The 15,603-nt window shown below is 38.1% G+C and overlaps 2 long non-coding RNA genes across 2 annotated transcripts in view; one reads left to right on the top strand and one right to left on the bottom strand.

Moving 5' to 3' along the window:
- Positions 1 to 15,603, top strand: part of LOC101928923 (uncharacterized) — a 487,547-nt gene that overhangs the window by 288,400 nt on the left and 183,544 nt on the right. The window lies entirely within an intron of this gene.
- LOC124901442 (uncharacterized) lies at positions 1,295 to 10,248 on the bottom strand. The gene is made up of 2 exons (XR_007059827.1): positions 10,159 to 10,248; positions 1,295 to 1,454 (listed from the first exon to the last, which is right to left on the bottom strand). It is a non-coding gene; the product is annotated as an uncharacterized LOC124901442 (long non-coding RNA).

Below are 15,603 nucleotides of genomic sequence, written 5' to 3'. Positions count from 1 at the left end.
TTAGTTTCTATCTCTTAACCAGTTCTAAAAATCCATACTGGGCTTTTCAATTTGGCCTTACGTAGTCACCAAGTTTCCCTCAAAAAAGTCACTAAAATCATTTGGAAGCCCACATTTATTTTGTGCACTCATTTTTCCTTTATCTATCTTTTCTTAAATCCCATTTTAGAAAATTCTCTAAGTTAAACAGTCACAATCTTCCTAATTACATTATTATAGGAAACTTATTTGTGGCAGGTATGTCATAGTATCATAGTTAGTATCCCCACATTCCTAGACTCCTTACCCATTGCAGAAGAAGTTGAAGCCAGGAAAGTCCCATCTTGTAACATGCTTCCAGAGGGGGTAAGTTTGTGTACTCCTAAACCCTGAGCTAAGGAAGCAGAAAAATTTATTAATAGACATCACACTTTCCCCAGAGATACTTGGAGATCAACGCAGCCTAGGGCATTTGGAAAGTTGGATTTACTTAACCTTAAAAAACGTGTCTGAGAAATCATGTCTATATAATTTTAGATTTGATCAGACCTGTATTTCTTTCATCTTTGTCACTTTTAAGCTAAAGACACACACGAGCTCCTGGGTTTAGAAAAAGAAGTGTTTAGGCTGGAAACAATCTTGGCATGGCTTTATAACAAGTAATATCTCTTTCTAGGCATCAAAGTGATTTGAATAAGAGCCAAAATACATTTCCCATGACAGATCAACCCAGGTACACATACAAATGTGTGGTTTGCCAAGCCTGGTGGACAGCAGGACCAGGAAAATGGGTTGGGTGAAATAAGAAGCCCTTTAAGCCTTCTATCAAAGCTTTCCCTTGCACCGTGCTTCTTCATGGTTTCAGAAAGAATTAGAGAACAGGAGCTTCCTATTACCTTTTATTTTGGGACTTGCCAAGAAAACCTGCCCACTCTGATTTCCATTTTTCTCTAACCAGTGGAGCCCCAACGACATTGCTGGTAAGACCAGTTCTCCTCTCTCTTGTCAGCTTTGTGTGGTGGCTCTGAATTCTTATTCTGGTTTCACTACAGAACATTAATGAGTTGATATGTGTCTCTCTTCTCAGAGCCTACAGGTTTAGCAGCAGGCTGTGACTGGACTGTTTAATATTCTAGTCTCTAGTGGATGGGGCAGCAGTAACAGCCAATGCTGTGCTCTCATCCATCCACCCATCTTTATTCCTCCTGATCTATTAAAGCTTCCTTATAAAATTGCTAAGTATGTGCTCACGGCTTTCTCTGAGGCAAGTGCATGAGAATAATTACTTTTATTTTAATAACAAAAGAAAGTAGGGTTAGGAAAAGTGAGAGATTTATTCCACAAATCACTGCAGACAAATAGTGAAGAGTACCACCATGCCTTCTAAGTTGAGTCCCAGGAATCTATTGCATGGGTCTTCCTGGGTTTTCTTCGAAGGGTGTTTGTTGTGAGTGTGCTGCTATTCCTTGACAGTTCTAGAATTGGAACAATCCAAAATTCATGCCAGAATAATAAAGTTTAAGAGAAAATTACTAGACAAATAATGGAGATGGTCAGTAAAATCTCTACAAGTCTCAATTCTGCAAACTAGATGGTGAGGCCTTAGTACCACTTTATTTCTTTGCTTTTGAGTGCAATTTCCAATGAAAGGATTTTTTTGGAGGTCCTTATCTGAGCCTTACCATTCTTCATTCCCTTATGACTATCACAGCCTTCTGCATGTTCATTTTTATAATCACATATGTTCTTAGGGACTCGGGGATACATATTAGAGATTAATAACTGTGGCTGCCTTTGCTTCAAAATCCCTAAACATACAGGTCACCTCCTCTCTCTCTTTCTCTCTCTCTCTTTTTCTCTTCCCCCTCCTCCTCCTTTATCTCTCTCTCTAAATATGCAACGAAATGGACATCAATCTAATATATACAGTTAATAAATACTTCTAACTAATTCAAATTGTGACCAATCCAGCAAATCATCACCTATCTTTTATGATAGTCTTGTTAGATAAGGTTAGGAGTCTGATAAATAGAGATTATTTTTGGCATATAATAGACAATAAATATTTGCTAACTGAACACAAAGATATTCATTTTAGATTGCTTAATAGCTATATATAGAGTTTTGACCTCCTTTTTTATGTTTATTCTCTGTACTCCTTCATTCCTAGTGCATGCCAAGCAGACTGAGTGGATCAGGGGACTGTGGGAAGGGTGCTCTTTGGATTTGGCTACTGGTGGTAAATAGCTACCATTGTGAGCCCTGTTTTGAGAAATTTTCATTGTCTCCTTGGCTCAACAACCTGCAAAGTCTACATTATTATTTGCATTTTAAAGATGAGGAAGTATGGCCAGAAACTGCTTAGGAAATTACAGAAAGAAGTCACAGGAATGCCATGCAAGCGTCCACTGATGTCATTCCAGTTTCTGTGCTCTTCCTACCTCACTGCACCCTCTCCATGTGTCACATTCCAACATCTCAGGTGTGTCAGTGGACTTTTTTGAGCCTGTTGATGGTCATGGTAGAAAAGCAGGGAAGTGATGGAGAAGATGGAATAGTTTCTTCCTGCTGTGCCCTGATTCTATGGTCTTTCCCATGATGTAGGGAGTTTGATAACAGCAGACACATCATGGGTCCTGTGCCATAATCTACATGAGATGCCCAGTCCCATCATCATATGGATTTATTTAATTTTTGTGACTATTCTTCATAGAGATATGCTAGAGCACCTTATTTTGAATGATGGCCCGAGGAGATATGTAAGGGATGATACATATCTAGTTTTAATCCTTCTTCTACCTGTTTATCATATGATTCTTTGGCTCATGCATTTGCATGCAGTTTTGTACATTTACATTTAGAAAGTTTTTGTTTGATGGTATTTCCTTCTCTGTGGTTATAGCAAGATCTGTCACGTCATGTCTTTCTGAGCCATTGGTGATTTATTGTATCTGTGCTGTTTGGAATTTTCTAAAAATATTCAGACAAGCTTGCCAAGGTTGCAATGCTATTTCTGCCTCTTATTTATTTGATTTTATTTTTTTGCTGTCACTCTTTTTCTCAAGAGAGGGACACAGAGTTGAGTGTGTGACAGGATGAGGGTGGGGGAGGTACACTTAGTCTCCGTAAAGTTTTAGTTCATGAGGAAGGAGAATTGCTTTAATTAATGTGTCTCCTAGGAAATCTGATATGGAGTGGGACAATCTCATCACAATCAGAACTGTCCCCTACCTAATTAGTGAAATATTAAACCAAAATTGTTTAAGTCAACCAATCTCATGTTCATAATCAAATGTGTACCCCGAATTTGCATGTGTTCTGACCCAGCCTTTCTACTCTTAATTTATCCTGTGGTCTGGGGGTGAAAATTACTTCAAAAAGAATTGCCCTCCCCAAGAATTATGTAAGTAGGCCTCGTGCTACATTAGTTAGCTGAGCAGATTTGTGCTATTTTGGATTTTACCTTTTCCACAACATCAGTCCAAGATGTTTTCATCAAAATTATTTTGTTTGTTTTCTTAGTTTGGTTCGTGAAGCAAAAACTAAGGTCTTATAAATTTAGTAAATACTGTTGAACATAAAAGTCTTACATACAAAGATGCAGATAATTCTTGTTCTTAATTTTTTTGCTCTTTGACATAATTTACTAAATAACTCCCATTCAAAAGAGATTTATAGTTTCAAGTAGAGTCTTGGCATAATTTTTAAATGTCTACACATGGAATTGTTTTGGTTAGAAAGGTAGACATCTCATGACGGTAAAGTCCTATGAGATTTTGAAGTTATGTTTTTTTTCCAGGCCATAGGGCTGTTCAGTTAAAGTATGTCAAATTGCATTTTACATTTCTTCTTCTGGCTTTAGAAGCAAAAAAAAAGTAATATTGAAACAAAAATTGGGAATTTTATGTAATAATTTATGAAGTAGATAAACAGAGATCCAAACATCTTCAACAAAATACCAAATTCAACATCACATTAAAAATATAATACACTATGATCAAGGGGGATTTATTCCTGGATGTAGATATGTTAGACCACAAATAAGTCTTAAAAAGTTTGAGAAGATGGAAATCATATTAAGAATCTTTGCTGATCTCAATGATATGAAACTAAAAATCAATGGGAGAATAGAAAAATTTACAAATATGTAGACATTAAACAACATATTCCTGAACAATCAATGGGTTATAGAAAAAGTCAAAAGGAAAATAAAGATATATTTTGAGACAAATAAAAATGGAAACACAATACAGAAAACTTATGGGATGCAGCCAAAGCAGTTCTAAGATGGAAGTTTAAAACAATAAATGTCTACATTAAGGAAAAAGAAAGATCTCAAATAGACAACTAGCTTTACACCTCAAGTAACTAGGAAAAGCTAAGCCCAAAGCTAGCAGAAGGAAGGAAATAATAAAGATTAGAGCAAAAATAAATAAATAAATAAATACAAATTACAAATACGATAGAAAAGATCAGCAAGGCTGGCCATAGTGGCTCATGCCTATAATCCTAATGCTTTGGGAGGCCAAAGTGGGTGGATTGCCTCAGCCAAGGAGTTTGGGACCAGCCTGGGCAACATAGTGAGATCTGTAGAAAAAAATTTTTTTAATTATCCAGGTGTGGTGATGCATGCCTGTAGTCCCAGTTACTTGGAAGGATGAGGTGGGAAGATTGCTTGAAGTTGAGCGACAGTGAGTTGTGATCATGCCACTGCACTCCAGCTGGGTGACAGAGTGAGACCCTGTCAAAAGAAAAAAAGAAAAAAAGAAAAAAAAGAAAAGAAAACATCAGCAAAACTTAAGTTAGTTTTTTTAAAGCTAAACAAAATTGACAAACCCTTACACAGACTAAGAAAAAGAGAAGATTCAAATAAATAAAATAAGAAATGAAAGAGGAGACATTACAATGGATAACACAGAAGTACAAAGGATCATAAGAAACTACTATGAAAAATTATATGTGAACAAATTGGATAACCCAGAAAAAATAAATAATTTCCTAGAAACATACAATCTACCAAGTCTGAATCATGAAGACATAGATAATCTGAACAATAATGAGTATGGAGATTTAATTGGTAATCAAAAACCTCCCAGTGAAGAAAAGCCTAGGACCAGATAATTTTACAGGTAAATTCCACCAAGTATGTAAATAATAATTAACACCAATCCTTCTCAGACTTTTTCAGAAAACTGAAGAGAAGGGAACACTTCCAAACTCATTTTATGGGGCCAGCATTACTCTCATACCCAAGTCAGATAAGGACACCACAGGGAAAGAAAATTATAGGCCAAAATCCTTGATAAACAGAGATCCAAACATCTTCAACAAAATACCAAATTCAACATCACATTAAAAATATAATACACTATGATCAAGGGGGATTTATTCCTGGATGTAAAGATGGTTTAACAAGGAAGTCAGTACATGTGATACACTACATTAACAGAATGAAGGATAACAATTCATATGATCATCTCAATAGATGCAGAAAATGCATTCAATGAAATTCAACATCTTTCCCTGATAAAAACTCTCAACAAAGTCAGTATAGAAGGAATGTACCTCAACATAATGAAACCACATATAACAAGACCACAGCTGACATTACACTCAATAGTGGAAAGCTAAAAGCTTTTCCTCCAAGATTGGGAGCAAGACAAGGGTGTTGACTCTTACAATGTCTATTCAGCGTAGTAGTAGCCAGAGTGATAGGCAAGAAAAAAGAAATAGAAGGCATTAAAATCATAAAGAAAGAAGTTAAATTGTCTCTGTTTTCAGATGACATGATCTTTTATATAGAAACCCTTAAAAAGTCCACCAAAAACCTCTTAGAACTAATAAATGAATTGAGTAAAGTTTCAGGATACAAAATCAACATACAAAAATTAGTTGTTTCTATACACTAACAATTAAGTATTGAAAAAAACTTTAAGAATCCTATTTACAATATCATCAACAACAATAAAATACTTGGGAATAAATTTAACAAAGGAGGTGAAAGACCTGTGTGCTGAAAACTATGACATTGCTGAAAGAAATTGAAGAAGACACACACAAATGAAAAGCTATCCATTGTCTATGGATTGGAAGAATTAATATTGTTTAAATGCCTATACTACCCACATATACAGATTTAATACAATCCTTATAAAAATTTCAATAACATTTTCATAGAAATAAAAAAATAGTTCTAAAATTTGTATGAAATCACAAAAGGCCATAAATAACCCAATAAATTTTGAGGAAAAAAGAATAAAGTTGAAGACATTTCATTTCCTGGTTTCAAACTACATTATGAAGTATAGTAAACAGTATGGTACTGATATGAAAACAGGCACAAAGACCAGTAGAACATAGTAGAGAGCTCAGACATAAACTCACACATACACAGTCAACTAATCTTTGACAAGAATGCCAAGAATACACAATGGGGAAAGCACAATCCTTCAATTAGTATTGGGAAAACTGGATATCCACATGGAAAAATAATTTAACTGGACTCTTATCTTACACCATACACAAAAATGAAATGGGCAAAAGACTGTAAGACCAGAAAGCATAAACCTCCTAGAATAAAACATAAGAAAAAAGCTCCTTGACATTGGTCTTAGTAATTATTTTTTGGATATGACACAAAAAGCACAGGCAACAAAAGCAAAAATTAAATAAGTGGTACTACATCAAACTAAAAAGCTTCTGCACAGGAAAACAAACAACAAAATCAAAAGAAAACCTACTAAATGAGAGACAAAATATATAAACCATATATCTGATAAGGAGTTGATATCCAAAATATGTAAGGAACTTACAACTCAATAGCAAAAAACACACATAACTCATTAAATAATGGACAAAGGACCTAAATAGACATTTTTTCCAAAGAAGACATACAAACGCCCAAGAGATGTATGAAAATGTGCTCAATATCACTAATCATTAGGAAAATGCAAATCAAAACCACAGTGAGGTATGTATCATCTCATACATGTCAGGATGGTTATGATAAAAAAGGCAAGAGATAACAATTGTTAGTGAGGGTGTGGAGAAAAGGGAACCCTAGTACATTGTTGGTAGAAATGTAAAATGGTGCAGCAGCTTTTGAAAACAGTATGGAGGCTGAGGTGGGAGGATCACTTGAGGTCAGGAGTTCGAGACCAGGCTGGCCAACATGGTGAAACCCCATCTATACTAAAAATACAAAAAAATACCTGGGTGTGGTGGTGAACGCCTGTTGTCCTATCTACTTGGGAGACTGAGGCAGAAGAATCGCTTGAACCCGGGAGGCAGAGATTGCAGTGAGCTGAGATTGCACCACTGCACTGCAGCCTGGGTGACAGAGTGAGATTCTGTCTCAAAAACAAAAACAAACAGTATGGAGGTTTCTCAAAAAATTAAAAATAGAAGTACCATATGATCCAACAATACCACTTGTGGGTATATATCCAGAAGAAATGTAATCAGTGTCTTGAAGAGATATCTACACCCCATGTTCATTGCAGCATTATGCTCAATAGCCAAGATACAGAAATGGCCTAAGTGTCCGTGGACAGATGAATAAAGAAAATGTGGTACCCCCCACCCCCACACACGTATACAATGGAATCTTATTGAACCATGATAAATGAGAGGGGAGCCCTGCCATTTGTGACAACATGAGTGAACCTGGAGGACATTATACTAAGCGAAATAAACTGAACACAGAAAGACAAGTATTGTTATGATCTCACTATATGTGGACTCTGAAAGAGTGGAACTCACAGAAGCAGAGAGTAGAATGATGGTTGCCAGGGGCTGGGGTTGGGGGAAACAGAGAGATGTTAGTTAAAGTATACAAACTTTTAGTTATAAGATAAATAAGTTCTGGGATTTAGAGTACAGCATGGTGACTATAATGAATAAAATTGTATTTTATACTTGAAATTTACTTTAAAAAGTAGATATTTGTTGTTTTCATCACACAAAAAAGTGGTAACTATGTGAGGTGATGGACGTGTTAATTAACTTGATTGTGGTAATTGTTCCAAAGTGTGTACATATATCAAGTAATCACATTGTACATTTTAAATAGACACAATTTTGATTTGTCAATTATACCTCAATAAAGCTGGAGAAAAACCTAAAATAAATAAATGTCAACCTCTTAAACAATAAAAATGTCTAATGTAGAATGGAATTTTATGTTCTTTAATTAACAGGTATTTATTGAGTAACTAATTTGTTCTACGTACTACTTTAGGTGTCAGCCATTCAACCATGAATGAAAGCAAAGTCTCTGATAGCCTGTTGTTTACATTCTAATCTAGGTGGAGGAACACAAACTATGAATAAACAAAATGCAGCCTGTCTCAGGTGGTGATATTAAATAAACAAAATATAAGCTGAATAAAAGGTGTGGGGAATGAAGGAGATTGCGATTTTATGAAGAGTGATCATGGTGCATTGGCTCATGCGTGTGATCTCAGCACTTTGGGAGGTTGAGGCAGAAGGTTGGGGATTGCTTGAGCTCAGGAGTTCAAGACCAGCCTGGGCAACACAGGGAAACTCCATCTTTACAAGAAATACAAAAATTAGCTGGGTGTGTTTGGCATGCACCTGTGGTCTCAGCTACTCAGGAAGCTGAGGTAGAAGGATCTGCTTGAGCCTAGGAGGTCAGGCTGCAGTGAGCCATGATTGCACCACTGCACTCCAGCCTGGGTGACGGAATGAGTACCTGCCTAAAAAAACAAACAAAAAAGGTGATCCAGGATACTTGAGAAGATGCCTGTTAAAACAGATTTAAAACATTCTTAATTTATAGACACTCAGTTTACAAATTAGAGGCACATGTGTTTAGTTGGTCCTGCCACTCTTCTAGCATAAATGGCTGTCTTCTCTGTTTCTGACAAAGGGCCAGCTAGCTTCCTGAATGCCGAGACTGTCTTCCAATACTTGAAACGTATGCAATTTCCAGGGATTGACTCCCCTTCTATACAAATCTCCATATTTCACAGAATTCTGATGGAATCAAAACTCAAGACTTTGGCCATAGAATTGATCAGAGTTCACGTAAAACATTTTTCACCATTGACTCACAAAGAGTCAAAATTCCTGGTAAATTTCTGCTTCCCTTGGAATTATTAATACCTATTTCCTCTACTTTGACATATTGTTTCATTTATTTTTCTGTAAGCTTCTCATTAATCAACAAACTATGCATGCAAGTGTAAAGTCTTCTCAATACATCGGCAAATCTATCTCTTCAGTTGTTTCCCTCAGAAAGTCATTCTGTCCCAGTGCAGACCACTGGGTCTCGGGGCCTGATGTGCAGTGGTCCTCCTGAGTCCTCCTTGGGCCTTCCTCCAGGAAATTGCGAGTGCAATTTTTCACTGAATCTTGTGTCTTCTTCTCTTTTGGTTTATTTCATATTTGGTGAAGCACAGCCTTTAGAAGCATACTAAGATCCCATGAATATATTTGTACCAACTGAAAATATTTTTATGCTACCCTCACACTCCATTAATAATTTGGCTGAATTAAAATTCTAGGTTAGAAATAATTTTCCATAGATCCCTGAAGGAATTTTTTTATTGTCGTCCAGCTTCCACGGTTGCTTTGGAAAAGTCAGTTACTACTTCTATTCCAGGTCTCTTTGCATATGGGCTGTTTATTTTTTCCCCGGACATTTCTAGGACTCTTTTTTTTTTCCCTGGTGTGTATTTCAAAAATAATGTCAAAATTATATAAACATGTGAAGGCATCTTTTAATTTAATGGGATGGATGCTTGATGGTATTTCTCAGGGTAGAAATCAATATCCAAGTGCCTTTATTAAATTTCCCCTTTTTTCTCTGTCCTTTCAGAAGTCCTAATATTTAGACATTGAGCACTCTGGGTTGATTTTCTAATTTCATGTCCTTTAATGTTGGCCATCTCTACCTTCTTATTCTACTTTCTGAGAGATTTACTAAGCTTATTTTTCATAGCTTCCATTCATATGTTTTTGAATTTTCTGCCATCATAATTTAATGTATAAAATATTTTTCTTACTGAATATTATTTTTATAGTTTCCTGTTCTTGTTTTAAGGATTAATGTTCTCTTATCTCACTAAGACTATTTCGGAAGTATTTTCCCCCCTCTCTGTATTGATTATGTCTTTATGGCAAATTTCCTTTCAAGTTGTTTGGTGTCTCTCTTACTTTCATGTTGCAGCTTCCCTCCAGTGTCTTTTTCTTCTTGGGCTCATCATTTCCCTTGGAGAGAAAACCTTCCATCTTCTGCCTGCAAAATATAAACTTCTCTACCAGTATCCTGGGAGCCAACTGGAGAAGGGTCTGGGATTCTTATTGTTGGTGTGCAGGCTTTCACTGAAACCTCATTTCTGAGATGTCCCCCAGTCCGGGCCCAAGAGTTGTCTGGTGTCCCTGAGTCCAGAGAATACTTGGTTCCAAACCCTTTCCAAGAGTGTCTCTTCAGTCCTCTACCAGGGTAGGGGCGTGGTTGCCTGGCATAGAATTTGGTGTTAATTACAATTCCTTTTAGAGCATAATAGCCTAAGCTCCATTATATTCTTGTATAGAGTATTCCCAATGAGACAACAGATACTGGTCTAATTCCCATTTCTGTGACCTGCTTTTTTCCCCTGGAAGCTACTGAAATGGTGTCTTCACTTTTGGTGTTCTGACGAGACTGTGTGGGTGTTGGAATTCATTCTGCTGGGGTTCTCAGAGAACGCTTTCACCCCGGAGACTCAGTCTTTCTACAGGTCTGAGAAACCTTTACTGTATCACTTCTTCAGTGTCTTCCTTTTTGCTTTCTCTGTTCTCATTCTGAAATTCCTCTTGGCTATTTTACCTCTTGCAGGGATCAACTCTGTTACTTGTTTTTTACCTCAGATGCGTTCATTTTGTTTTTTATTTTGTGTGAGGATGCTTTTATCTTTTAACCATCATATGAGATTCTTTGTTTCTTTTTATTTTTTTGAGACAGGGTCTGGCTGTCTTGCCCAGGCTGGAGTGCAATGGTGTGATCTCAGCTCACTGCAACCTCCGCCTCCCCAGTTCAAGCAATTCTCCCACCTCAGCTTCCCAAGTAGCTGGGATTACAGACACGCACCAACACGCCTGGCTAATTTTTGTATTTCTTGGTAGAGATGGGGTTTGGTTGCCCAAACCATGCTGCCTAGGCTGGTCTCGAACTCCTGAGCTCAAGTGATCCGCCTGCCTAGCCTCCCAAAGTGCTGGGATTACAGGCATGAGCCCTGCCAGATCTTTCTCGTTTTCCCATCATATTTTTTTCTCTTCCTATTTTTTTTTGTTTTGTAAATTAAGATCATCTTAATTTCTTTGAGGGTACTGATGAGAGGCTATTGTTCCTCTCAACACTTCTTTTTCTTTTATTTTTTCCTTCATCCTATGTTCTATGTTGCTATCTTTTCTTTCTCTTTCAAGTTCCACCCTTTCTCAAGTTACCTGCCCCTGTCCCGGATCAAGCATTTGTAAAGTTGACTTCAGTCTTTGTCTGTCTTGTACATGGGCAAGGGTTGTGGACTAGCAGCTTTAGATGAAATGGGGAAGTGGTGATTAAGCTTTGAGACCACTGACATGAGGATGTATTTGTTTTGCAACCAACATCCAAGCATTCTTCTTATTTATAAAGATCCATCCATTTATGGAGGGATAGTGGCATTCAATGCCTGGTTGTCAGAGATTCCTCTTGCCAGAATTGGGGTAAGGGGCAAGAAAAGTCACTGTTGTATAGTCTTTCAATTAATCTTCCTGTGTTTAGGTTTTATGTCCTATTTCTAACTCCTGTTCCTGAGTTTTGGAATTGTGAGACTCTCCAGGGCTTTCCAAGAAAGCTTTCTCTGCTGTTCTAACCTTCTTCTATTTCTTTGTACTTGTCCATATTTTTACTTATATTGTTAGAGTAGAATGCTTTTAAAACATATCATACTTTCCTGTTAGCTTAACAATAATTCTTACTAATTTTAGTTATTATTTTGGATTTTCTAGGCATATAGTCATATAACTTATAAATGATATCTCCTATTATTAATGCTTATGTTTATTTGATGCTTTCTTCTGTTTCATTACATTAGCCAGTACTTCCAAAACAATAATGACCGACAGGCTAGAATAGACACCTTTTCTTATTCCTGATTTGAATAAACATTACTAGTATTTCACTCATACGCCTGGTGTTGGTTTCAAATAGGCATCGTTTTTCTAGCTAGCTATATTATATTCATTATGATTTCTTGTGATAACATTTTCCTGGAAATATTATTGATTTAGTTATAGAATCAGGAGAAAAAGGCAGTTTCAATTCAATCCTAGAATCTTTCATTGACTCACACTGGAGATGTAGGAAAGGAGAAAAAAGGGAAGTCTTACATCGGAGGACCACTTGGTGTATGCCAGTGGGGAGATACGCATCTGCGAGACATGCTGACTTGCTGATTCATCTATGGAATTCAAATTTTCATTAATCTCCTGGGGCTGACAAGCATAACTTAAAAATTAGGGCACCATGTTTTGATCAGCTACAGAATAAATAAAGAACTGAAATCAGTTGTTTGAAAGAAATATGACTACAGGGCTTGCGTTTGATCAGCAATCTTCAAATTTTTAGGTGAATGCAATTTATCTGCATAAAATTCCTTATTTGTTCTTTGTCAATTTTTTTCTTAAAGAGTAGCAACATTCTTTAAAATGAGATTATCAAACTTTGGTTCATTAGCAGTTTAACCTCTGATAATCCAAATCAGCAATTTGTCGTCAGGTAGGGTTCCTTCTTGGAGACTGGAAAGTTTTAAGGGACCACGGGATGCTACACAGGTCCAAGAGTGGCCTATGCTCAGTATCACTCACATTTTGTTATTTCTAGGCAGAGATATTGGATATCCAGAATGACTACTCAAATACACTTCTTCCCCCTTTCTTAAGACTTCCTTGTATTGTTCCTTGGTTTTTCTGATACTCCTTTCTTTCTTCCTTCCTTCCTTCCTTCCTTCCTTCCTTCCTTCCTTCCTTCCTTCCTTCCTTTCCTTTCTTTTCTTTCTTTCTTTCTCTTTCTTTCTTTCTTTCTTTCTTTCTTTCTTTCTTTCTTTCTTTTTTCTTTCTTTCTTTCTTTCATCTCAGCTATGCAACGTGCTGTGACTGTCCTGTGTAATCTAAGCCACACTCAGGTTTGACTCATGATAGAAAGGGGGCTCTAGTTTGGACATTAAGATAAAACATGCAAAGATATCATAGGAAAAGTTTTCTGGGCTCTGGTAAAATTTTTAATTTGAATTGGCCCAAACAATCATATTTACAATATTTTGGAAGAGTCCAGAATTGAGAATATTTTCAGCCTGGGAAAAGAAGGAAGAAAAAAAACTCACAAATCTTTCTAGATTCAGTCCCAGATGGAACCCAAGCCTCCAGGTGGACTTGGACTAGACCGGGGACACATTCTCCTTTGCAGCCTTGATATTGCCATAGGAATACAACCCTCCTTAGACTATTGCTTGCCAAATTCATTCCCACCATGTTTTACTGTGATTGCCTAGGCTGTGGGCAACTTCAGAGTGTTACTTAGGTGGAGAAAATGGGAACCGTCACGCCTGGGTGCAGTTTCAGCTTCCTTCTTTGGATTTCCTAGCATGACACATGCTGAAAGGGGATCAGGAGTGTGTGGTTTCCTGGGTGTGGGTCGGAGGCCCAGGTCATTCCCACATGGGTTTTCCTTAAAGAAGCAGCAGGTGGAAAGACGGTGTTTGCCAGTCACTCCCTCATCCAGCCTCTACCTCTACCCTGCCCTTCACGAGACACGAAAGCCAAACGCCAATTCGGTGTGTCCTTGGATATTTTCCCCTTTCCACTTTGCTCAGGGGCACAAAATGCTGATGCAGTTGGGAACGGAGAAGTAAGTGATTTATAACTAAAATGGCCCTCTGCAGTGGAAGGTCTATGAGAGATGGGAGAATTTATTTGCTGAGTTACTAGGCAAATTTCACAATTAAATCTTAACTCAGCTCCTGAGGGAACATCGGGGATTACTGAAAGAAAGGGGCTTTGACTCGATTTTTAAAAAGGAAAGAGAGCAAAGAAACAGCAGAATACCCTACAGTTGCTCAGCGCAGCCCTGCCAAGCCAATCTCGCAGTGGGAATCACCACGGAGAGAATCGGAAAGGACAGGGAACAGGGAAGATGTAATTAGGGAAAATGCAAATAAACTCACTTTCTTATTTGTAAAATGGAATTAATGAATTTAAAAAAATACGCATCGCTACAGCTTGCTGTCCAGGGGGAAATCTGCTTGGAAACACACAGCCGGTTGTCTGCTTTTTGTTTTTTTTTTAAGTTCCTCCCCCTGTGTCCTGCTCCCCCTTCCCTCTGTCTGCATGTCACCCGGACTCCATGGCTGTGGTGGGTTTGCCTTTCCTTCATGGCCCCCCTTCTCCCGTCCCAGCCCCTCTTGACTGCCCAGGCCTTCGCACTTAGGGAGTTTTAGTAAGAGACTTCTGTTTTGACAGGCAGTCTCTTGGGTCTCTCCACTGAAAAGGCCAAAGCTCCCAGTGCAGCTAAAATCTTTGCCTTTAAACAGCTTCTTCCTTTCCTGAACTGCATGCAAATAGGAGGAGTCTCAGAGCTCCATCGCTCACCCAGGCTTCCTTGTGATTTTCTCAGTCCCGAAAAACCATCACTCTGTGCAAGGCTTTAGAAGGAAGCACATTCATTCCTTATACCCTGGTCCACAGAGGACTACCAGGCTGTTCTCAGGGCCTAGCTCCAAATGCATCCAGCAGCTCACCATCTTCTGCTTCACATAGGAGCAAAAGCCCTTCTTGCTTTTCTCCATGTTCAGCTAAATATGCCAAAGGCAGCTGGCTTGTCCATGCTGGCTGATAACTAACAATGCCATGACAACAACCCTCACTCATTAGTTCAGTGTCATCTTTACAAGGGAAGTGAATTTCCTTTCCCAGGAAAGAGTACAGCAGCCAGCTCTGTGCACAGGCTGGTTATTGAACAACCCGCACACTGACATACAGTTAGTTTTCTGTATCTTAGAACGGTGGCCCCCAGCCTTTTTGGCACCAGGTACTGGTTTCATGGAAGACGATTTTTCCATGGACGAGGGTGTGTGGGGGTGGTAGGAGTGGGGAATAATTTCAGGATAAAACTGTTCCACATCAGATCGTCAGGCATTACTTAGATTCTCATATGGAGCACGCAACCTGGATCCCTCGCATGCACAGTTCACAACAGGGTTCGCCCTCCTAGGAGAATCTAATGCTGCCACTGATCCGACAGGAGGCGGAGCTCAGGTGTTAATGCTCACAGGCCCACTGCTCACCTCCTGCTGTTCGGCCCAGTTCCTAACAGATGGTGAGATCATGGACCGGTACCGTCTTAGAAGATTTACAAAGTGAGGTTGAAAATTCCCAGTACTCCCAAGTACCCATTTTTAGTTCCTTTCTTTGAGCGCCTTCCCTGATAGAAGTAAGTTTGCAAATCTTGGTAAAGTTTATCCAGATTGATATTGATATTATATTATTATTAATCTTATATTGAAGGGCATTAAGTCAACTGAGATGTTATTTATGGTAACAGCAACAAATTACCATCCAAAATTTTCCTCATCCCAGGGAACA

This window comes from Homo sapiens, chromosome 6, assembly GCF_000001405.40.
Source record: "Homo sapiens chromosome 6, GRCh38.p14 Primary Assembly".
NCBI lineage: Eukaryota > Metazoa > Chordata > Mammalia > Primates > Hominidae > Homo > Homo sapiens.
The sequence above is the reverse complement of the archived record's forward strand: the minus strand, read 5'-3'. Positions and strand labels throughout refer to the sequence as shown.